The sequence below is a fragment of the Homo sapiens genome, chromosome 3, assembly GCF_000001405.40.
Source record: "Homo sapiens chromosome 3, GRCh38.p14 Primary Assembly".
NCBI classification, from domain to species: domain Eukaryota; kingdom Metazoa; phylum Chordata; class Mammalia; order Primates; family Hominidae; genus Homo; species Homo sapiens.
Genome location: NC_000003.12, coordinates 183,052,613 through 183,076,957, shown reverse-complemented (window position 1 = coordinate 183,076,957; position 24,345 = coordinate 183,052,613). Strand labels below are relative to the sequence as shown.

Here is a 24,345-nt window from a genome sequence, read left to right as displayed (position 1 = left end):
GTTCATATAGGTAAATCTATAGAGACAGTAGATTCACAGTTGCCTAGGGCTGGGGGTTTATGGGGAGTGAGGAATGGCTAAGAGGCACAGGATTTCTTTTTGCAGTGTTAAAAACTTACATTATTAGATCTTAGTATTTTAGATTATAGTGATAATTGTGCGACTTTGAGTATACTAAAAATCATTGGGTTGGCCGAGTTTATGGTATATGAATTATATCTCAACAACTATGTTTAAAAAGTGCAGTAACACTATGCACCCACTAGATTGGCCAAAATCAGAAAGACTGATAGTACAACATGTGGGCAGGGATATGGATACACACTTTAAAGCATCATAAATTGCTGGTAGAAATGCAAAATAAAATCATCGCTTTAGAAAAGTTAAATGTATTCTTACCATATTAGGACCAAACAATTGCACTCCTGGGTATTTACCCAAGAGAAATGAAAAATATGTTCACACAGACTTGTCTGTGAATGTTTATAACACCGTTATTCATAATAACCACAAACTGGAAAATAATTCAAATGAATGGGTAAACAAAATGTGGTATATCCATATAACAGAATCCATATTATAAAAAGAAATGAGCTACTGACACACTCCATAACATGAATAAACCTTGAAAAATTATGTGAAGTTAAAGAAGCCAGACACATAATACTATGTACTGTATGATTCTGTTTATATGAATTTTTTTAAAGGCAAAACTATAGAGACAACAAGTCAGTTGTTGCTTGGGTATTGGGAACAGATTGCACATGGGCACATGGGAACTTTTTCAAGTGATGCAGGTGTTCTCAAACTGGATTGTAGTGATCCAATTGTAGTTGCACAATTGTATAGATTTACTAAATTCACCAAACTATAAATGCATGAATATTATGTATTATAAATCATATCTCAAAAGAAAACCCAAACCAGGGAGGACTAGGACATAGACCTGTTTCATTTGCCTAGTATAGATGTTTGACCATTTTATATAAAATACTCAAATTGTGGGAGAAAATATTTGCAAAGTTTGCATCTGACAAAAGTCTAATATCTAGCATCTATAAGGAACTTAAACAGATGTGCAAGAGAAAAACAACCCCATTAAAAAGTGGGCAAAGGACAGCCGGGCACAGTGGCTCACGTCTGTAATTCCAACACTTTGGGAGGCCGAGGCGGGCAGATCACACGGTCAGGAGATGAGACCATCCTGGCTAACATGGTGAAACCCTGTCTCTACTAAAAATACAAAAAGATTAGCAGGGCGTGGTGGCAGGCACCTGTAGTCCCAGCTACTTGGGAGGCTGAGGCAGGAGAATGGCGTGAACCTGGGAAGCAGAGGTTGCAATGAGATGAGATCATGCCACTGCACTCTAGCCTGGGTGACAGAGCAAGACTCTGTCTCAAAAAAAAAAAAAGTGGGCAAAGGACATGAACAGGCACTTCTCAAAAGAAGACATACATGTGACCAACAAACATGAAAAAAAGCTCAATATCACTGATCATTAGAGAAACGCAAATCAAAACCACAATGAGACACCATCTCACACCAGTCAGAATGGCTATTACTAAGAAGTCAAAAAAATAACAGATGTCAGGAGGTTGTGGAGAAAAGGGAACGCTTATACACTGTTGGTAGGAGTGTAAATTAGTTCAACCATTGTGGAAAGCAGCAGGGTGATTCCTCAAAGAGCTAAAAGCAAAACTGCCATTCAACCCAGCAATCCCATTACTGGTTGATACCCAGAGGAATATAAATTATTCTACCATAAAGACACATGTGCATGTATGTTCATTGCATCATTCACAATAGCAAAGTCATTGAATCAGCCTAAATGCCCATCAGTGACAGATTGGATGAAGAAAAGGTGGTACATATACACCACGGAATACTATGCAGCCATAATAAAGCATAAGATCACATCTTTTGCGGGAACATGGATGGAGCTGGAAGCTATTATCCTTAGCAAACTCCCACAGGAACAGAAAACCAAATACTGCATGTTCTCACTTAGAAGTGGGAGCTGAATGATAAGAACTTAAGAACACAAAGAAGGAAACAAAAGACACTGGGGTCTACCTGAGTGGGGAAGGTGGGAGGGAGAGGAGCAGAAAAGATAACTATTGAATACTGGGCTTAATACCTGGGTGACGAACTCTGTACAACAAACCCCTGTGACATGTATTCACCTGTGTAATCTTCACATGCACCCCAAACCTAAAATAAAAGTTAATAAAATAAAATTGAACTTTGGTTTAAAAGATATAAAACTCTAAACTGGCTGCAACATATGAGTATCCAGCATTTTATCTGTATCTGGCATTGCATTGTTTCCTGTCACTAGGATGTGGGTTTTTCTATTCGTATGAGTTTCCCAGATATGTGAAGCTTACCCCTTTAATTTTGAAATGTTCTTTGAGTGTAACTATTTTGAAACAGGATTGGCTGAACCTTTGTGTTTTTACATTGTTTTGGTCATAATTATAATACTCGCTCACATTTTAGAAGAACAAATCCCCTCAGGGCTACTGATGTTGGAGAGGGTGTGGCTTCATCACTCATTAAATCATCCAAGTCTTCTCTGCCTTTTGCCTCCTTCTGTTTCTTCCCTTTTTGCTGTCAGCGTGTTTACTTTTAGAAATCTTGCTGTCCTTCAGTTACTGAATTTCCTCTTCTGTGGGCTAAAATCCCAGTAAGTATGTTTGTTAAAATTCTGAGTACACTGGAAGTAACTAGGCTGAAGTCTGAGGGATGCCCTTTTCACTGAAAGTACACGTACAGTTGTCCCCTTTATCCACGGTTTTGCTTTGAGTGGTTTCAGTTACCTGCAGTCTACTATGGTGTGAAAATATTAAATGGAAAATTCCAGAAATCAACAATTGATAAGTTTCAAATTGCACGCCATTCTGAGTCACACAGTGAGATCTTGCACAGTCTGCTTTGTCCCTCCCAGGATGTGAATCGTCCCTTTGTCCAGTGTCTCCACGCTGTCTCCACTCCCCATCTGTTAGTCACTCAGGAGCCATCTAGGTTATCAAATTGACTGTCATGGTACCACCATGCTTGTGTTCAAGTCACCCTTATTTTATTTAAATCATGGCCCCAAAATGCAAGAGCAATGATGGTGGCAATTCACTTATGCTAAAGAGAAGCCATGAAATGCTTCTTTTAAGTGAAAAGGTGAAAATTCTCAAGGAAAGAAAAAAATATGTATGTTGAGGTTTCTTGGTTCTTGGTAAGGACCAAGTTTCTATCTGTGAAATTGTGAAGAAGGAAAAACAAATTCATGTCATTTTCCTGTTGCACCTCAAACTGCAAAACTTATGGCCACAGGGCATGGCAAGTACTTAGTTAAGATGGGAAAGGCATTACATTTGTGATTGGAAGACATGAACAGAAGCGTGGTCAAATTGGTATCAGTCCAGTTCTGTAGTATTCATAGTTTCAGGCATCCACTAGGGATCTTGGATAAGGGGACACTCCTGTAGACTTTAATACATGACTTTCATTTGCTTCTTAGCTTTTTTTCTGGAAAGATGACATTGATGACCTGAAGATAAGTGAGGTATTTATTGAGCTAGTGTTCTGTTTGGGGCTTTTGGATGCCATGATTTCAATTCTAGGCCAGTTTTACACAGAGACAGAATAGACAAATTCCCCTTACCACTCTGAAGCCCTTTACTTCTTGACATTCTACCCTAATTGCAATATTATTTTAAATTTAAGTATATAGAAACTTCTGTACCATATGATCCAGCAATTCCACTTTTGGTATACAGCTAGAAGAATTTAAAGCAGGGACTCAAAACAGATACTTGTATACCAATACTTGTTGTTCACAGCAGCAGTATTCACAATGTGTAGAAATAACACAATGTCCATCAAGAGATTAATGGATAAACAAAATGTGTACAAACTGGATATTATTCAACCTTAAAAACAAATGGAATTTTGATACATGTTACATGAATGAACCTTGAAAACATTATGCTAGGTGAAATAAGCCAAACTCAGACAAATTATTATACGCTTCCACTTACATGAGGTACTTTGGCTAGAGAAATTCATAAACAGAAAGTAAAATCCTGGTTACTAGGGACTAAGGAAAGGGAGGGAATGGAGAATTATGTTTGGAGATTAAAACATCCTGAGGATGGATGGTGATGACAGTTGCCCAACATTGTGAGTGTACTTAATGCCACTGAATTACATACTTGCAAGTAACTAAAATGGTCAGTGTTTTGCTATGTATATATTATCACAATAAAAAGAAATATAGATTCATCTGGTTTAGGTAAGCCTTCAGAGCTTTCATATGAATATTTCAGATATTTCTTTGGAAACAGAGTTTAATAGAGACCATACTATTACCAGTGTAGGGAGAGGCCTCCCAGAGGAAGACAGCTTCACCTGCATTAAGGTGTTGCCAGTTGAGCACTGATGAGTAAATTTTTTATTTTATTTCTCATTTCTAGGCTATCCATCCAGGATGCGGTTTTCTCTCAGAAAACATGGAATTTGCTGAACTTTGTAAGCAAGAAGGAATTATTTTTATAGGCCCTCCTCCATCTGCAATTAGAGACATGGGTATAAAGAGGTATGAGTTTATATCTTTTAAAATATAACTGTATGAAGGTCAGTTGAAATAGTTTGGGCCAGGCATGTGGCTATGCCTGTAATACCAGTGTTTTGGGAGACTGAGGCAGGAGGATAGCTTGAGGCCAGGAATTCAAGACCAGCCTGGGCAACTTAGTGAGACCTTGTCTCTCAAAATTCTTTTTTTTAAATCAGCCAGGCCTGGGCACAGTGGCTCACACCTGTAATCCCAGCACTTTGGGAGGCCAAGGTGGGAGGATCACTTGAGCCCAGAAGTTTAAGACCAGCCTGGGCAACACAGGGAGACCCTGTCTCTACAAAATTTTTTAAAAATTCCAGGCATGGTGGCACGTGCCTGTGGGTCCAGCATCTTGGGAGGCTGAGGTGGGAGGATTGCTTGAGCCCAGGAGATCAAGGCTGCAGTGAGCTGTGATCACACCATCATACTTCAGTCTGGGTGACAGAGTAAGACCCCATCTCAAAAAAAAAAAAAAAAATTCAGCTGGGTATGGTGACACACACCTGTAGTCCCAGCTGCTTAGGAGGCTGAGGCAGAAGGATCACTTGAGCTCAGAAGTTTAAGGCTGTAGTGAAGTATAATTGCACCACTGCACTCTGGCATGGGCAACATTGTGAGACCCTGTCTCTAAAAAAAAAAAAGAAATAGTTTGTTTTACCTATAATATTTTAATTCTACCCTTCTGTTGTCATAGGCATAAGTTATTTATCTGTGACATAGAGAAATTCTATTGAGTTACAGAAAATACTTAATGTTTCTAATCAATATATTAGTATTTTGGGATTAAAAAATAGGGTGAGATGAGCTACCACATGAAATGAGGGAAACTAACTAATAGACATATTAAATTTGTATTATTTTGTCGTCTCAGACTCGATGTTTTCTTTAAAGAGTTCCATTGTAATTTATAGACTGGGCTATATTTATGTTTGTCTTGAATGAAATAATTTGTAGAATTTGGGGCATGTTGTTTTCTTTCCCACTCTAAAGCACATCCAAATCCATAATGGCTGCTGCTGGAGTACCTGTTGTGGAGGGTTATCATGGTGAGGACCAATCAGACCAGTGCCTGAAGGAACACGCCAGGAGAATTGGCTATCCTGTCATGATTAAAGCCGTCCGGGGTGGAGGAGGAAAAGTAAGATTGTGCATGCTTGTGTTTGCCAATTCAGGCTTGTCTTCTTTGTTTTATTTATGTTGTAGTCATAATCATCTTTTCTCTCTTAGGGAATGAGGATTGTTAGATCAGAACAAGAATTTCAAGAACAGTTAGAGTCAGCACGGAGAGAAGCTAAGAAGTCTTTCAATGATGATGCTATGCTGATCGAGAAGTTTGTAGACACACCGAGGTGGGTTGGCCTTATTTTTCTGACTCAGAGTTTAAAAATTAAATTATAAAAATAATGCATGCACATTCTATAAAATATAAAACTGTAGTAGTATATAAGTATATTATTACAAGTTTCCCAGTTCTGTCCTGTGATGTAACCACTGATTGTAGGATGGTATGCATTCTTCCAGCCATTTTCTATGTGAATAGAAACCTATATACATATACATACAGCAAACAAAATACATACCTAAGAACAGTGAATAGAATTTTTTTTTTTTTTTGGACGGAGTCTCTCATTCAGTTGCCCAGGCTGGAGTGCAGTGGCACGATCTCGGCTCATTGCAACCTCTGCCTCCCGAGTTCAAGCGATTGTCCTGCCTCAGCCTCCTAAGTAGCTGGAATTACAGGTATGCCCCACCATGCCTGGCTAATTTTTGTGTTTTTAGTAGAGATGGGGTTTTCCCATGTTGGTCAGGCAGGTCTCAAACTCCTGACCTCGTGATCCACCTGCCTCAGCCTCCCAAAGTGCTGGGATTACAGGCGTGAGCCACTGTGCCCGGCCAGTGAATAGAATCTTATACACTAATATTATATCACAGACATCTTTCCATGTCAGTAATTGTAGATCAGCCTCATTCTTTTTGTTGGTGACCTAGCGGTTCTATGATCTTGATATACCATTAATTCATTCAGTATGTTTCTTGTTGATGAAATTTAGGGTTTTTTTTCAATATTAGCAAATTATTGTAATAAATTCAGCTATATTTATAGAACTCTGTCAGTTGAGATGCTCAGGAAATGGAAGTAATTTTCTAAATTGAATTACAAGTGATATGCTGTTAATAGGAGCTAACACTTACATTGCACTTACCATGTGCCAGATTTTAAATATTTTACACATGCTAAATAATCTTGCTGTCCTTCTAATTCTAATATAATTCTTACAACAACCTCATTAGGTAAGTACTGTTTTCATTTTACAGGTGAGGACACTAAGCAACAGAATGGTTGTGTTGTGTTACTTTTCTGAGGTCACTCAGCTGTTAAGTAGTAAAGCTGAGATTTGAACCCAGGCACTTTGACTCCAGAGTTCATATCTAAGCCACTGCACTAAGCTACTTCTCTGGGTACCACTATAGCAAATGCAGTGTGAATCCCTATTTTTTTTTCTGGAATTTTATTTTCATGTTTGTTGTTTAAGATGCTGATTATAAAGTTTCTCATTTCATAGATTTTTATGACAATTGTTAAATTTTATATATATATGTGTGTGACCTGTAAGTCAAGTGAAAAGAATAATTTATTTGGGAACCATGACTGGAAAGAGATTTACCTTGAAGGTAACAGACTTGAAACTTCAGGCCCTTCTTTGACATTAATCTCTTCCAAGACCCTGACCTAATTTTGTATTTGCAGTTTTGTATTCTTCTCCTTAGAGAAGACCCCCAAATTGTTTTTTGTTTCAGGCCCTATAAAACAACTGTCCTGAGCATGGCATAGTAAATGAAATTCAATTAAGGCAAAAAAAAAGGGGGGGGCATTTCTAAGGTACATTGAAGGCTTCCTTTCAAGAAAGAATAGGCTAGCCATCCAAATCAGCATGCTCTTAAGTTAGAATTGTGGAGACATCAATAGCTTATTTCAGTAACTTATTTCAGAGACATCAATAGCTTATTTGAGTTATTATGTAACTCCATGCCTGCAGCATTTTTTGAATATGTAAGTTCTTTACTTATGAAATGTTAGCCATACATTGCGTCACATTATAATTTATTCCCCCAATAGCTGGAAAGCCCCTGGGAATCAAAGACCTGGTAGTATATACATTTTTATTTTTTGTATATATTGCCTGGCATACTACTTTCCTTGTAATAGGCATCAGTAATATTTTTTGAACTATAGAAGTAATATGAATACATTACAAATTTTTGGAAAATGCAGAAGATGGAAAACAACCCATAATTGTATTCTCCTAATTATTATTAATATTCTTATATACAGTCATGTGTTGCTTAATGACAGAGATACATTCTGAGAAATGCATTGTTAGGCAATTTCATTGTTGTGCACACATCATAGAGTGTCCTTACACAAACTGAGATAGTATAGTCAACTACACACCTAAGCTATGGTATAGCCTATTGCTCCTGAGCTACAAACCTGTACAAACGTTACTGTATTGAATACTGTAGGCATTTGTAACACAATGGTAAGTATTTGTGTATCTAAACATCTCAAAACATAGGAAAGGTAATGTATTGTGCTATTATGTCACTAAATGATAGGAATTTTTCAGCTCTATCATAATCTTATGAAATCACCATCCTATATGCAGTCTGGCATTGATGGAATGTCATTGTGTGGCACATTGTGTGACTCTATTTCTATTCTGTATTTCTAGTAATAACTTCTTTTTAATTGAAAGCAAGTTTATTAAGAAAGTAAAGGAATAAAGAATGGCTACTCCATAGACAGAGCAGCCCCAAGGGCTGCTGGTTGCCATTTTTATGGTTATTTCTTGATGATATGCTAAACAAGGGGTGGAGTATTCTTGCCTCCCCTTTTTAGACCATATAGGGTAACTTCCTGACGTTGCCATGGCATTTGCAAACTGTCATGGTGCTGGTGGGAGTGTAGCAGTGAAGACGACCAGAGGTCACTGTTGTTACCATCTTGGTTTTAGTGGGATTTAGCCAACGTCTTTACTGCAACCTGTTTTATCTGCAAGGTCCGTATGACCTGTATCTTTTGCTGACCTTCTATCTCTTCTTGTGATTAAAAATGCCTTAACTTGCTACTGGGAATGCAGCCCAGCAGGTCTTAGCCTTATTTTACCCAGCTCCTATTCAAGATGGGAGTTGCTCTGGTTCAAATGCCTCTGACATTTCCCTTTTCCCTTTTGTAAGAGCACGCTTAATCCTAAGGGTTGCAGAGGGACAAAGATCCATCTTCTGTAACTTCTTCAGGCTGAATGGGGTGATGATATTCCTGCCTAACTATTAGGATCTCTTGTGTTCAGTATAGAGAGAGGAGCTTAGTTAGAAAGCATCGGTATGTTGAGGGCCACTCATAACTCATGAGTTCCAACAAAAGGTGATATCTGGAAGATTACTATGTGTTTTTAAAAAAAAATTTGGTAAGCTTATCCTGCATTTCTACACAAAGAGTATAACAGTAATATATTCCACAACAGTAGAGCAAAGTAAGCAAGATTATCCCAAGTTAACTAAGTTAGAAGGCTTTCCACTAACTGGGCAACTGTTGGAACCAAGCCGATATGAGGTTGCTAGGTGATTCCAATACATGCCCAGGATTAGAATATTGATTCAGATATTTGCATTACCAGTCCCTCCTGTTTCTTCTGAGCAGCATCCAGGGATCACTGGTTGGTCCACAGGAATAAGCAGGGTTAGTCTAAATTGTAGGAAATCTCAAAAACAACTGATGAGACCAAAATTTAATAACAAATGTGCCATAGTTCTTGAAACATAATTTTTCTCTCTCCGGTTTCCCATTTTTACTAAAGACAAATCATGGTAAGACTGATTTGCTTTATTATACATGGCCTGATTATTTGTACAAAGTGCAGCAAGAATAATTATTTGCCATACAGGCTTTTAAAATTGGTTTTGATATAACTCTTCCATAAGGAATGTCAGAGAAGACCTTTTTTGTATTTAAGCCCAGCCCAGCCATGGGTTTATACCCTCAAATACCTATGAGTTGGGTAAATTTTTCTCCTCTTGAGGTCTCACGATAACTTGGGGCTCCTGAGTCTTTCAGAAAGTGACATTCTTTACTTACTACAGGTTAGGAACCCTATATAGAGACTGTGTAGACAAGGAATGAGGCCAGTTTTCCCCAGGGGCTTTTATTGGCTTTACAAGTCAAGTTTGATTCCTTAAAGGAAAGCATGCCATTCCAGTCAAAGCCTTGGTAAAATAACCAGTTTCTCCAGTTGTGTCCCATTGCAAAAGAAAGCAGATTCTTATTGCATTTATGCAAATAACTATATTGCCGTAAGTTAAGATAGTCACAAATAATTTCCAAATTCTGGAGAAATCAGATAGAGAGAAACAAATATGCTCCAAATTTTGTTTATGAGTGTGCACATTACTTAATTGTTTAAAAAGCTGTCAATAGCTTAAAAGAAAAGTTTCCTTTACTCTGAAGAACAAAACAGAGGATCAGCAATGTTTTAAGCAAAAAGTCAAAAAAGATTACTTCAGACTTCTGTTAGTTTAGTCTGTACAGTTAACTCCTGTTTTGCTTGATATACATGAACATTTCAACTTTCCATGAGAGTCCTGAAAGTTTCTTTTTCCCTTTTCTAATGTCACAATCTCCAAAGTTAAATGAAACCTGCATTCAAGAACACCTATTAGAGTTGTATAGTTGATTATAAATCACCTTTTGGGGCTTGGTGGCTCATGCCTGTAATCCCAGCACTTTGGGAGACTGATGCAAGTGGATCACTTGACCTGGAGTTTGAGACCAGCCTGACCAACATGGTGAAACCCTGTCTGTAATAAAAATACAAAAATTAGCCAGGCATGGTGGCATGCACCTGTAATCCCAGCTACTTGGGAGGCTGAGGCACGAGAATCACTTGAACCTGGGAGGCGGAGGTTGCAGTGAACTGAGATTGTGCCACTGCACTCCAGCTTGGGCGACAGAGTGAGACTCAGTCTCAAAGTAATAATAATAATAATAAATCTCCTTTTGAAGAGGATCAAAACAAGACAATTGTCTGTGGATGGCAAAAAGTTTTAGGGCAGCCACAGTTAAAAACACAATTGACAAAGAAATTTGGTTACCTCTGTTGCATACAATGGTTTTATGTAACAGTTATAATTATACTGATAATGTACACTAAGTCATATCAGAATTATAGGAGTTTCCCATTATTTTGGAACACATACTAACAACATATTTATATAAATATAGCCCAAAGAAAGCTAAACACTATTTCACATTTGACACTGCTTCCTGTATGACTCTTATGCCAAATAAGCCAAATTTCACCTTTACATAACTGTACTATTAATGTTAAACCCAATTTTCAATAAAACCTTATAGACATATCTACCCAATTTTAATGTTTGACCATAAGGTGAGGTTCTCATAAACCTTTTATAACCCTTTACAAATTTTTGTTAAAGAGCAGATCAGTGCCTTAAGAAGAACCTGTTGTGCTTTTATTCCAATGTTCAATTTACAGAAAAACTGAATACCCCTTTAACTTTAGACAATATGTTCACACACAGAATTTCTTTTACAAGATTAATTTTTTACAAACCTTCCACAACTTGCTTAAACCTTAAGCATTATCTTATTTAACTTAAAACAATCCTTTAACTTTTTAATCTAGACAAAAAAAATCCACATTCCTGTGCCTTCTTATAATCTTTTACCAAAAACGCATTTCAAAAACAAAACAAAACAAAACAAAAAAAACGCATTTCACTTTCCTTACACACCTTACATGTAGAATTGTTTCAATTTCTCAAAGATTACTTAAATCACATAAATTAAAGGCATTATACTTTTTACTTTTCCGACAAAATATTTGATATAAGCACTTATTTTTAAACCAGTTAACCAAAGCTCTTTCATATCACACACACAACACATATAAATACACAGACAAACAGAAGAAAAGGACTCATTCCCTAAGCCAGGAACTGAATCCTGAACCCGGTATACCATTGTGAAAAGACAAAGCTAGGCCACATGGTTACAAGGTCAAGCTCCCAAGGACATACAAGACAAGAGGGGAAACCTCATCCAGTTTTTTTTTTTTCAGGGACCTGCAGCAAAGTTTATAACTGACTAGTTTGCTGGGCCATCTTAAACAGTGGGCTTATGGTGTTCTAAGCCTGTGTTTTATCCTAAGGTATCCATCTCTATGACAGAACAATTCAGAAAGACATGCAAAGCACACCAGATTCACTACAGCTTAAGACTAGCCTCACAAATCCTTTTTTTATTAATCAAAACTTTACAGAGGAGATAAACAGTGATTTTTGCCATTCATTCAACCAGTTTGCACAGAGAGAGAAAGGGAAGGGAAGGGAGAAAAGCATTGCTTTGTGGCAGGATGGGGAAAGCAAGGTGCTCAGAGAGACCAGAGAAAGACCCGCCCATTGCAACCGACACTAAATAAAAAGTTCAGGTGGCCACTTGTCAGTTAAGAAGGGATCTTTTGCCCACCATGGCTCTGAGGCGCCTCCTGCCGGTGCTGCACCCCTACATTACCCGCTTCGCCCTGCTGTCCACGGAGCCGGCTGCCCGCGAACAGCCTGCCGTGGGCCCAGCAGCCATGCCAGGACGTGGGTCGGCCGAGGCAGTGTGGCCGCCGGTGCCCGCAGTGGACTTCGGCAACGCGCAGGAGGCGTACCGCAGCCGGCGAACCGGGGAGCTGGCGTGCAGCCCGCTGGTGCTGCACTTGTGCGCCTGGCCCGTGCTGGTGGCGTGCCATGAGCAGGCGCGCGGGGTGCAGGCAGGGGCGCGGGGCTTCTGCCCGTCCCAGAAGCCTTTACGGAGCTTCCTGGGTGCCCACCAAGCGTCTCCTGGAGCGAGGGAAGCCAGGAAGGGAGGCGTTTCCTGCAGTCCCTCTCGGACCTCGCAAATTTTCCTACTTGTCGATGTCTACCAACTAAAAACAATGATCATTTTAATATTTACGATATATACCACTTGTGGGAATACAGAGTTATCACTTGGAATTAAAAAAAAAAGGGGGATCTTTTCTAGCAGTCCCATCAGCTCTCAAGTTTCTCCTTTTAGGGAGGTAAAAGCTCCCCATGTCCCACCATCCTGTACATGCCTAATCCTATCACCGACCGCCGTCAGCAAAGAGTGCAAGGCAGATTAATTCAAACAGAATAGCAGTTAACATCCATAGTGCCAAACCCATTCTTAGCCGAGAGGGATTTTACTGAGAGGAGCCCCTAAATCTTAGGAAGGAATCTAACCTTCCTAAGTTGGGCTTCAAACCCAAGTTCAGTCAAGCATCCTTGCCTTTTATTGAGAGGGGTCTTTAACCCACTCTGTCTTAGGAGAGACTTTAACTCCACCAAGTTGGGCCTGTAACCCAATCCTATCCTTTGCCCGGGTGTATGCACCCCGCTTACCCAAAGTTGGCCAATCAGTGCTGCAGTCTTTGGGTTGGAGGGTCTCCGCAGTATCGTCCCTTCCGTAGTTCATCAGAAAGACGTTACCAGACCCCACCGCTTTGGGTCGGGATTTCCTTAGTATTGTCCCTTCTGTGGTCACCAGAAAGATGTTACCAGACGGGGGTCCTGATCCAGACCCCAAGAGAGGATTCTTGGATCTCACACAAGAAAGAATTCAGGGCGAGTTCATACAGTAAAGTGAAAGCAAGTTTATTAAGAAAGTAAAGGAATAAAGAATGGCTACTCCATAGAGAGAACAGCCTCTAGTAATAACATTTAAATATCCTGATAATCATACTGTGTATTCTTTATGTCCTGCTAAATAATTACCTGTTGAACTAATGGAGTGCCAGAAGATTGTCAAAATAGTGCTGATAACTGAGAAGAGTCAATATCAAGATATTACACAAATCTTATCAAAACTATTTAGTGTATCTGAAAGACTGGGATAAGAAACCACCTTTAAAGTATACTATTTTGGAAGAAAAAACAAATCAGATTTCTTCCTCAGTTCATATATAATACATATTCTAGATGGATTAAAAATGTAAATAGGGCCAGGCGCAGTGGCTCACGCCTGTAATCACAGCACTTTGGGAGGCTGAGGTGGGCAGATCACGAGGTCAGGAGATCAAGACCATCTGGCTAACACAGTGAAACCCCGTCTCTACTAAAAATACAAAAAATTAGCCAGGTGTGGTGGTGGACGCCTGTAGTCCCAGCTACTCGGGAGGCTGAGGCAGGAGAATGGCATGAACCCAGGAGGCGGAGCTTGTAGTGAGCCTAGGTCACACCACTGCACTACAGCCTGGGTGACAGAGCAAGACTCTGTCTTAAAAAAAAAATGTAAATAGGAAAATGGATATGTTAGGACTCTTAGAAAATATCAAGGCGCTCATGATAGGACTCAACTGCATCTGTCTGTCTCTCTGGCCGTACTCTGGCAGTGGCTGAATTAGGGCAGCTGGGATTTGATGCACCTCCTGGTTCTCAGACACTTATAGACACTATGCTCCAGAAACTCTAAGTTAGATAAAGCTGCACAGAAAAGGGTCAATCAGAAAAAGGTAAATAAGACTGATTGAATGACTACAGAAATCCTAACAGAACACAGATCTTCACTGAACTTCCCTTATAAGCAGCCAAAGGAAAAGTGTTTCCAACTTCTAAGACCTCAGACAAGGCTGGGCACAGTGGCTCACGCCTGTAATCCCAGCACTTTGGGAGGCCATGGCGGGCAGATTGCCTGAGCTCAGGAGTTCGAGACCAGCCTGGGCAACACGGTGAAACCCTGTCTCTACTGAAATACAAAAAATTAGCCAGGCATGGTGGTGTGTGCCTGTAGTCGCAGCTACTTGGGAGGCTGAGGCAGGAGAATCGCTTGAACCTGGAAGGTGGAGGTTGCAGTGAGCTGAGATTGCACCACTACACTCCAGCCTGGGCAACAGAGCAAGACTCCATCTCAAAAAAAAAAAAAAAAAAAAAACTGAAAAAACAAAACTCAGGCAAGAATTGCTCTGTGCTCTTGATGTGGCCCCCACACATTCCCTTCATAACCTGGAATCCCTGCTGTAGTGTTTCCTCTTACCTGGAGCACCTAAAAGATGAGGGAGAGTCAGAAGTGGTATGTGTTAGTCTGTTCTCATGCTGTCAATAAAGACATACCTGCAACTGGATAATTTATAAAGGAAAGAGGTTTAATGGACTCACAGTTCCACATGGCTGGGGAGGCCTCACAATCATGGCAGGAGGTGAAGGAGAAGCAAAGGCGTGTCTTACATGACAGCAAGCAGGAGAGCCTGTGCAGGGGAACTGCTCTTTATAAGACCATCAGATCTCGTGAGACTTTACTATCACAAGAACAGCACGGGAAAAACCTGCCCCCATGATTCAGTTACCTCCCGCCGGGTCCCTCCCACCACACATGGGGATTATGGGAGCTACAATTCAAGATGAAATTTGCTTGTGGACACAGCCAAACCATATCGTGGTAGAACTTTACAATTGGAATTAGAAAAACAAACACTTCAGCTCCAACATGTAAAGAGCTTGAAAGTTATCAGTCATATCCAAAAAGCAAGAAAAAGGCTAAACAAAATGAAAGTCAGTGGTTTTAGAACCATCAGAGAATTGAGGCCATGGGGCAAGCCTTCACTCTAAAATCTGGACAAGCATGCAAGTATAGTGAGTCACAGCCAGATCAGTTTACCTGCTGGAGCCCTAACACTTGCATGGGAATTTTGAAAAATGGCTGAGGCTAAGTGTGGGCCAGTGTGCAAGTGAGAAACTCCTTGGGGCCCTGTCTTAGAGGGACCTCCCACTTTCATGGGTTTTGCCTCCAGGAACCTCACCAAGTTCCCACAGTAAAAATCCAAGAAAAAAAAATCCCTCATGTTTTACAGCAGTGGGAGGGGAAAAGTAACCAATTTGAAAGAGATCCAGAGCATTCTATTCTCCCTAACAGAAGAAATCCTAACTCCAAGGGAGATGTTGCCAGAACCTTTTTTGTTCAGGGGGAAGGTAGTTAGCCAACCACAACCCCCTTTAGTCTTCCCATTTCACCTAAGGGGAGGGGGAAAAAAAACAACTTAGAAATACTTCGCAGCACAAACACAGGACCACTAAAAGACTTGAGATTTAATCACAAGTTTATAGAATGCTTTCCCTCCCCCATACCCTACCACCATGTTGCAATGGTCTAAATATTTGTATCCCTCCAAAATTTACATGTTGAAACCTAACCCGCTATCCCCAAGTATTAAGAGGTTGGGGCCTTTGGCAGGTTATTAGGTCCTGAGTGCTCTGCCCTGATGAATGGAATTGGCTTCAGTGAGCGCAGGCACTTTGTCTCTGCTCACCTCTGTACACCCAGCACTAGTTGGGAGCCTCCTACGTAATATTAATAGATGCTCGCAGCCATAAAAAAGGATGAGTTCATGTCCTTTGTAGGGACATGGATAAAGCTGGAAACCATCATTCTCAGCAAACTGTCGCAAGGACAAAAAAACGGAACACCGCATGTTCTCACTCATAGGTGGGAATTGAACAATGAGAACACTTGGACACAGGAAGGGGAACATCACACACCGGGGCCTGTCGTGGGGTTGGGGGAGCGGGGAAGGACAGCATTAGGAGATATACCTAATGTAAATGACGAGTTAATGGGTGCAGCACACCAACATGGCGCATGTATACATATGTAACAAACCTGCACGTTGTGCACATGTACCCTAGAAATTAAAGTATAATAAAAAAAAACTATAAGTGTATTTGCAAACATATTGGAAAACATGGAAAAAACAATGAAAAGGATTTCAGTCGTATAGCAAAATAGCTGATTTGTGTTATGTCAATAGCTTTCTTCTCACGTTTGTTCTGTCTGCTTCCTATACTTAGCAATAAGAAGATACTGTAATTATTTCACTTATCTACCCCTCTGTTCTTAAGTATCTCTTTTTCCTATAATTTTGTTATGTAAAAGGTAAGGTTTAGAATGTGCCACTCAGACCTCAACTTTCCATTGTGGATTATGCAAGGCCACAAAGATTTCGTACAACTATGATGGGACAAATAAATACAAATTTGTGAACAACAACAACAACAAAAATCAGTGATCCTGAACATAGATAAATAGAACTTTCCCAAACGGAAATGCAAGGAGAAATAAAAATGAAAGAAAAAAGAGAGAACAGAATATCCAAGAACTGTGGGACAATTTAAAAGGATGTAACACGTTATTTGAATACCACAAGAATTAGAAAGCAGCAGGAGAGATATTTGAAGTAGTAATGGCCAAGAATTTTCCGAAGTTGTTGACAGATGCAAAACTACAGAACCAGGAAACTCAGAGGACACCAAGAAGAATAAATACCAAAATATATACATCTATGCACATCATCTTCAAATGCAGGAAAAGAAAGACAAATAGAAAATACTGAAAGAAGCCACAAGGAAGGAAAATACTAGAGGAATAAAAATAAGAAATCTTATCAGAAACCATGCAAGAAGAGAGTGGAGTGAGATATAAAGTGTTCAGAGAAAAACTACTAACCTAGTCTTCTGTATCCAGTGAAATTATGCTTCAAGTATGAAGGAGAAATAAAGACTTTCTTAGACAAACAGAAATGAAGAGACTTTGTCACCAGTAGACCTGTCTTGCAGGTCATATTAGTAGATGTTCTTTAGAGTGAAATAAAATGTTTTAGGTCAGAAACTTGGATCTACATAATAGAAAAGAATTAGAGAAGGAATAGGTAGAAGTAAAATATTTTCCTATCCTAACATAGGAATATTTTCCTATTTTGAATTGATTTAACAGATAACAGTTTGTTTAAAATAATGGCAATAACGTATTTGGTGATTATATAGCTTGTGGATAAAGAGGAAAAGTCAACAAGGCAAGAAAACTAAAAAGAAAAAATCAGCTCCAAGAATTTTATTAAGAGAATGTATTGGACAGGTTGGAAAATTCAAAATGGGAACATTCAGAAAAGATGATATATCAAGAAGATAAATTCTTTTTATTTTTGAGACGGAGTTTCACTCTGTCACCCAGGCTGGAGTGCAGTGGCACGATCTCGGCCCACTGCAGCCTCCGCCTCCCAGGTTCAAGTGATTCTCATGCCTCTCAGCCTCCTGATTAGCTGGGATTACAGGTGTGTGCCACCACACCTGGCTAATTTTTGTATTTTTAGTAGAGACAGGATTTCACCATGTTGCCCAGCTGGTCTTGAACTCCTGGCCTCAGGTGATCTGCCTGCCTTGGCTTCCCAAAGTGCTGGGATTACAGGTGTGCACCAACCGTGCCCAGCAAGAAGACAAATTCTTTGAAGTGGTTAAATAAAATACTTCATGAAGTAAACAAGAATAGAAATGAACTATTGTACTGAAGCAATACATTTATAAGACTTCCTGGCATTTTTTGTCTCTTCTATGTTTGACAGTTTTTATTTTAAAAAATCAACAGGAAAACATATTTGCTGATCACTTCTGTATTATGGCGTATTATGGTGGTAAATAGGTGAAGTGAACTACAGTGTGACCATATCACAAACCTACCGAGAAGAATTTCATGTTCACCAAATAGTCCATATTAGCCTTATTTCCACAAAAGTTATGTGCATTCACTCTTAATATGATTTGTCATAATTTTACTATTTTATAATCAACATGTAATTACCTTTGTTGGTTGTTGTTGTTTTTTCCTTAGAGATGGGGTCTGACTTTATCAGCCAGGCTGGAATGCAGTGGCGCAATCGTAGCTCACTGCTCACTGCCACCTTGAATTCCTGGGCTTGAGGAATCCTCCTGCCTGAGCCTCCTGAGTGGCTAGGACTACAGGCATGTACCACCATGCCTGGCTAATTTATAAAAAAAAATTTTTTTTAGAAACAGAGTCTCACTATGTTGCCCAGGCTGGTCTTGAACTCCTGGGTTCAAGCAGTCCTCCTGCCTTGGCCTCCCAAAGTGCTGGGATTTATAAGTGTGAGGCACTGTGCCCGGCCCTTTTTTGGGTTTTATTATGATTTATTGTTCATGTATTTCTGAGATACTAATGGTCCATATTAATTTAATACATTTAACTTTTCTGGATGAGCCATTTTAATTTCAGTCTTCTATATTCATAAAATCTAACTGTAAGAGTTGCTTAAAAACAAAAAGTCATAAAAAATTTTTCATTGGTCTTTTGACAATATAGGAAGTGACTATAATTTGTAATTTTGATGTAGTCAAATTTGTCAGTCTTTTCTTTGACAGTTTGTACTTTTTGTTACGTATCCCTACTTTAGTCTCTATTTTCTGTCTTTTAAAAATATTTATTCATTCATTCATTCATTCATTCTCCTTTAGGTTGGAGAAGTGTCTTAATTGCCATTTTATGTAGAGAGATTTTTTCTCTTTAATATTCATCCTACAAATGGTAACATTTTCATTGAGTTTTACAAGATTATAGTTTCTTTGTTTTGACAGGGTCTCTCACTCTGTCACCCAGGTTGGAATGCCGTGGCACAATCTCAGCTCACTGCAACCACAACCTTCTGGGCTCAGGTGATCCTCCTACCTCAGCCTCCTGAGTAGCTGGGACTACAAGCATGTGCTACCATGCCTGGCTAGTTTTTTTGTAGAGATTGGGGTTTCACCATGTTGCCCAGGCTCATCTTGAACTCCTGGGCTCAAGCATTCTGCCTGCCTTGGCACCCAAAGTGCTGGGATTACGGGCATGAGCCGTCTCATTTGGCCTGTGGTTCTTTTTCTAAGTCCATAACCTCTAATTTGAGGTCAAAATATCAGATCTTACTTAAAGGAAGTAAAAATGGAGAAATCCTGGTGATTGTGCCTAACAGTTTAGCTTAACGAATGTGATATTTATCACCCCTAACAAATATATTAACATACATGTTTGCTTTTATATAGGCATGTAGAAGTCCAGGTGTTTGGTGATCACCATGGCAATGCTGTGTACTTGTTTGAAAGAGACTGTAGTGTGCAGAGGCGACATCAGAAGATCATTGAGGAGGCCCCAGCGGTAAGGACCTTGGAAAGAAATTTGTAAGCTTCTCCGTAATGTGAATCTTACTCTGATTTTCACATCAGAAATCTGTGAATCTGGTGTCTCTCACCCCTCAAACTCCTGCTGGACAACTGTTGCCTAATAGCAGTGTAGTGAAAAGACCTCCTGTGGTATTGGGGATGAGGAGGAGATTGATGTTCTGGGGGTAGACACAACAGGGTCATGTTCCTTCTGGATAAAATATGGGAAAATCTACTCTGATTCACCTATCTGATTTACAGCGAAAAGCTGTCTAGTGAGGTTTCAACGCACATTTTAAATTGTAATGAATGGCCAGGCGCGGTGGCTCACGCCTGTAGTCCCAGCCCTTTGGGAGGCCGAGGTGGGTGGATCACCTGAGGTTGGGAGTTCAAGACCAGCCTGACCCACATGGAGAAACCCCCATCTCTACTAAAAATACAAAATTAGCCGGGCTTGGTGGCGCATGCCTATAATCCCAGCTACTTGGGTAGGCTGAGGCAGGAGAATTGCTTGAACCTGGGAGGCGGAGGTTGCAGTGAGCCGAGATCACGCCATTGCACTCCAGCCTGGGCAACAAGAGCAAAACTCTTGTCTCAAACAAAAAAACAGAAAATTATAATGAACTAGAATTAATTACTGGAATGGAATGATCTGATTAATTGAATCTATTTTTTGTGGAAAAGCCTTTTTTAATTACCATTTCAGATGTTCTCAAAATATGTGAGAGATTTTCCTGCCTTACTGGTTATATTATAGAGAAGAGAGAGTCTCTCGTTTGGCAGCGTTTGCTCATTTAACATTTGTTTATATCTCTTTGAGCCTTACTCTTGATTGGTTTAGGTGATTATCTGGGTCAAAGCCTACTACTAGGACTACCTATTTTTGGATTTACATTTCTGTGGAGGTTGCTACTGCCATGGGTTCTTGTTCAACGTTATATAGATTTTTTTTCAATAAATATTTATTTCCAAAAAGTCAGGGATCAGAGGTTTCTGGTTAATCAATACATTTTTCTTATACCATATTCAAATTTTAATTTATGTTGCAGAATATATTTAACTTATGTTGTAGAATATATTATAACATTATATATTATACCAGAATATGTTATGCCATGAATATTGACATATTAAATGTCAATAGAAATTGCAGTAAAGCCTTATTTTCAAGTCGTGATTACTTAAATTTATATCTGTATAGCACTGTTTTTAAAAAGTTAAAAACTTTGTTTACTTCTAGACATACATTTATTTTAATGTACCTTTCTTATTAACTTGGAATCTCAAGGTTTCCCATTATTTTAAGATAATCATTAGGCACATCACTCAGATTGCTTATCATCCTGAAACAAAATAAGGATTGTTGAAAGTTACCATATTGATACGTATAGTTTTGTTTTGTTTTTTTGAGACAGGGTCTCGCTTTGTCATCCAGGCTGGAGTGCAGTGGCATGATCATAACTCACTGCAGTCTCCAACTCCTGGGCTCAAGCAATCCTCACCTCAGCCTCCAGAGTATTTGGGACTACAAGTGCATGCCACCATGCCTGGCTAATTTTTTTTTTAATGTATTGTAGAGATGGGGTCTTACTGTGTTGACCACGCTGGTCTCAAACTTCTGGCTTCAAGTGATCCTTTAACCTCAGCCTCCCAAGCACTTGGATTACAGGCCCGAGCCACTGTGCTCAGCCTGAAACATATAATTATAAGTGGACATATAGTTATGAAAGCTGTCATGTAGATACAAGGGACAAAGATACGTAATTATGCTGAGTAATATCTGCAATGCATAGAAATTAGTAGCAGAATCATTAAACTTTGGTATATTGACAGTTAAACTATCATAGGACAGTTTTTGATGAAGTATATAATATTAGCTTTTTATCCTTTTTTTTTGAGATGGAGTTTCGCTCTGTCACCCAGGCCGGAGTGCAGTGGCGCGATCTCAGCTCACTGCATCCTCCGCCTCGCGGGTTTAAGCAGTTCTGTGCCTCAGCCTCCCAAGTAGCTGGGATTAAGGCACCCACCACCACACCCGGCTAATTTTTTTTTTTTTTCTATTTTTTAGTAGAGACGGGGTTTCACCATCTTGGCCAGGCTGATATTGAACTCCTGACCTCGTGATCCACCCGCCTCAGCCTCCCAAAGTGCTGGGAGTACAGGCTTGAGCCACCGCACCCGGCCAGCTTTTTATCCTTTTTAATGCAGAATTTGGTACACAGAAATATAATACAGTCATGCATTGCTTAACAATAGGAATACATTCTGAGAAATGCGTCCTTAGTTGATTTTGTAATTGTGTTAACATCATAGAGTGTACTTAAACCTAAATAGCAAAGCCTACCACACACCTAGGCTGCTGGTAGAGCCCATTGCTCCTAGGCTACAAACCTATATACAGCATGTTACTGTACTCAATACTGTAGGCAGTTGTAACACAATGGTAAGTATTTGTGTATCTAAACATATATAAACGTAGAAAAGGTACAGTAAAAATACAGTATAAAAGATTATTAAAATGATACACCTCCTATGTGGAATACTTACCATGAATGGAGCCTGCAAGATTTTCAGTTGCTCTGGGTGGGACAGTGAGTGAATGTGAAGACCTAGTACATCACTGTACACTTGGTAAACACTGTATACTTAGAGCCAATTAAATTTATAAAAAATATTTTTATTTAATAAATTAGCCTTAGCTTGCTATAACTTTTTTGCTTTATAAACTTTTAAATTTTGTTTTCACTTTTGACTCTTTTTAATAATACTTAGCTTAAAACACAAACACATTATGCAGACATACAAAAATATTTTTTCTAGGCCGGGCGCGGTGGCTCACGCCTGTAATCCCAGCGCTTTGGGAGGCCGAGACGGGTGAATCACGAGGTCAGGAGATCGAGACCATCCCGGCTAACACAGTGAAACCCCGTCTCTACTAAAAATACAAAAAAAAATAGCCGGGCATGGTGGCAGGCGCCTGTAGTCCCAGCTACTCAGGAGGCTGAGGCAGGAGAATGGCCTGAACCCGGGAGGCGGAGCTTGCAGTGAGCCGAGATCGCGCCACTGCACTCCAGCCTGGGCGACAGAGCAAGACTCCTCTCAAAAAAAAAAAAAAAATTTTCTTGGCTGGGTATGGTGGCTCATACCTGTAATCCCAGGGCTTTGGGAGGCTGAGACGGGCGGATCACTTGAGATCAGGACTTCGAGACCAGCCTGGCCAACATGCTGAAACCCTGCCTTTACTAAAAATATAAAAATTATCTGGATGTGGTGGCAGGCGCCTGTAATCCCAGCTACTCGGGAGGCTGAGACAGGAAAATTGCTTAAAACAACCTGGGAGGCAGAGGTTGCAATGAGCCGAGATCATACCACTGCACTCCAGCCTGGGCAACAGAGTGAGACTCCATCTCAAAAAAAAAAAAAAAAAATTCTTTATAGCCTTAATTCTATAAGCTTTTTCCTATTTTTTAATTTTTTTTTGTTTTTTTTTGTTTTTTTTTTGAGACAGAGCCTCACTCTGTAGCCTAGGCTGGAGTGCAGTGGTGCAGTCTTGGCTCACTGCAGCCTCTGCCTCCTGGGTTCACGCCATTCTCCTGCCTCAGCCTCCAGAGTAGCTGGGACTACAGGCGCCTGCCACCACACCCGGCTAATTTTTGTATTTTTAGTAGAGACGGGGTTTCACTATGTTGGCCAGGCTGGTCTCGAACTCCTGACTTCATGATCCGCCCACCTTGGCCTCCCGAACTGCTGGGATTACAGGCATGAGCCACCGTGCCTGGCCCCTATTTTTAAATTTTTAAATTAAATTAAAATTTTTTGAGATGGGGTCTTGCTGTATCACCCAGGCTAGAGTGCAGTGGCACAAACATGGTTCACTAGACCCCTGACCTCTTGGGCTCAAGTGATCCTCCCACCTCAGCCTCCTGAGTGGCTGGAACTATAGGTGTGTGCTATCATGCCTGGCCAATTTTTTTATTTTTGTAGAGACAGGGTCTCGCCATGTTGCTCCATGGTTTGATTCTTGCCAGGCTGGTATCAATCTCCTGGGCTCAAGTGCTTCACCCGTCTCGGCCTCCCAAAGTGTTGGGATTACAGGGGTGAGCCACCACACCCGGCCTGTTTTAACTTTTTAACCTTTTCTGTTAAAAATGAAGACACAAACACACCCATTAGACTAGACCTAAACAGAATCAGGATCATCAGTGTCACTGTCTTTTCTCCACATCTTGTCCCAATAAAAGTTTTCAGGGTCAATAACATCTATGGAGCTGTCATCTTCTATGATAACAATGCTTTCTTCTGAAATATCTCCTGAAGGAACTGTCTGAGGCTGTTTTACAGTTAACTTTTTTTTTTAAGTAAAAGGGATACACTTTAAAATAACTATAAAAATTGTATAGTATAGTAAATTAAAAAAACAATAGCGTAGTTGTATTATCAAGTATTATATACGGCACATGATTGGGCTGTATTTTTTTTTTTTTTTTTTTTTTTTTGAGACAAAGTCTCACTCTGTCACCCAGGCTGGAGTACAGTGGCGTGATCTCGGCTCACTGCAAGCTCCGCCTCCCAGGGTCACGCCATTCTTCTGCCTCAGCCTCCTGAGTAGCTGGGACTACAGGCGCCCGCCACCATGCCTGGCTAATTTTCTTTGTATTTTTAGTAGAGACAGGGTTTCACCGTGTTAGCCAGG

At 40.0% G+C, this 24,345-nt stretch overlaps 1 protein-coding gene across 13 annotated transcripts in view; it reads left to right on the top strand.

Moving 5' to 3' along the window:
• The window catches only part of MCCC1 (methylcrotonyl-CoA carboxylase subunit 1), a 100,979-nt gene that overhangs the window by 39,239 nt on the left and 37,395 nt on the right, over positions 1-24,345 (top strand). For 12 of the 13 annotated variants that reach the window (NR_120639.2, NR_120640.2, XR_007095707.1 and 9 more), the window contains 4 exons: positions 4,471-4,592; positions 5,601-5,748; positions 5,838-5,959; positions 19,536-19,647. Coding sequence is in view for 10 of the 13 variants with exons in the window: in XM_047448586.1 (XP_047304542.1) it covers positions 4,471-4,592; positions 5,601-5,748; positions 5,838-5,959; positions 19,536-19,647 (504 nt within the window). In the remaining 3 variants the exon portion in view is untranslated. The remainder of the gene's footprint in view (positions 1-4,470; positions 4,593-5,600; positions 5,749-5,837; positions 5,960-19,535; positions 19,648-24,345) is intronic. The other variant, NM_001293273.2, reaches the window with a different exon arrangement.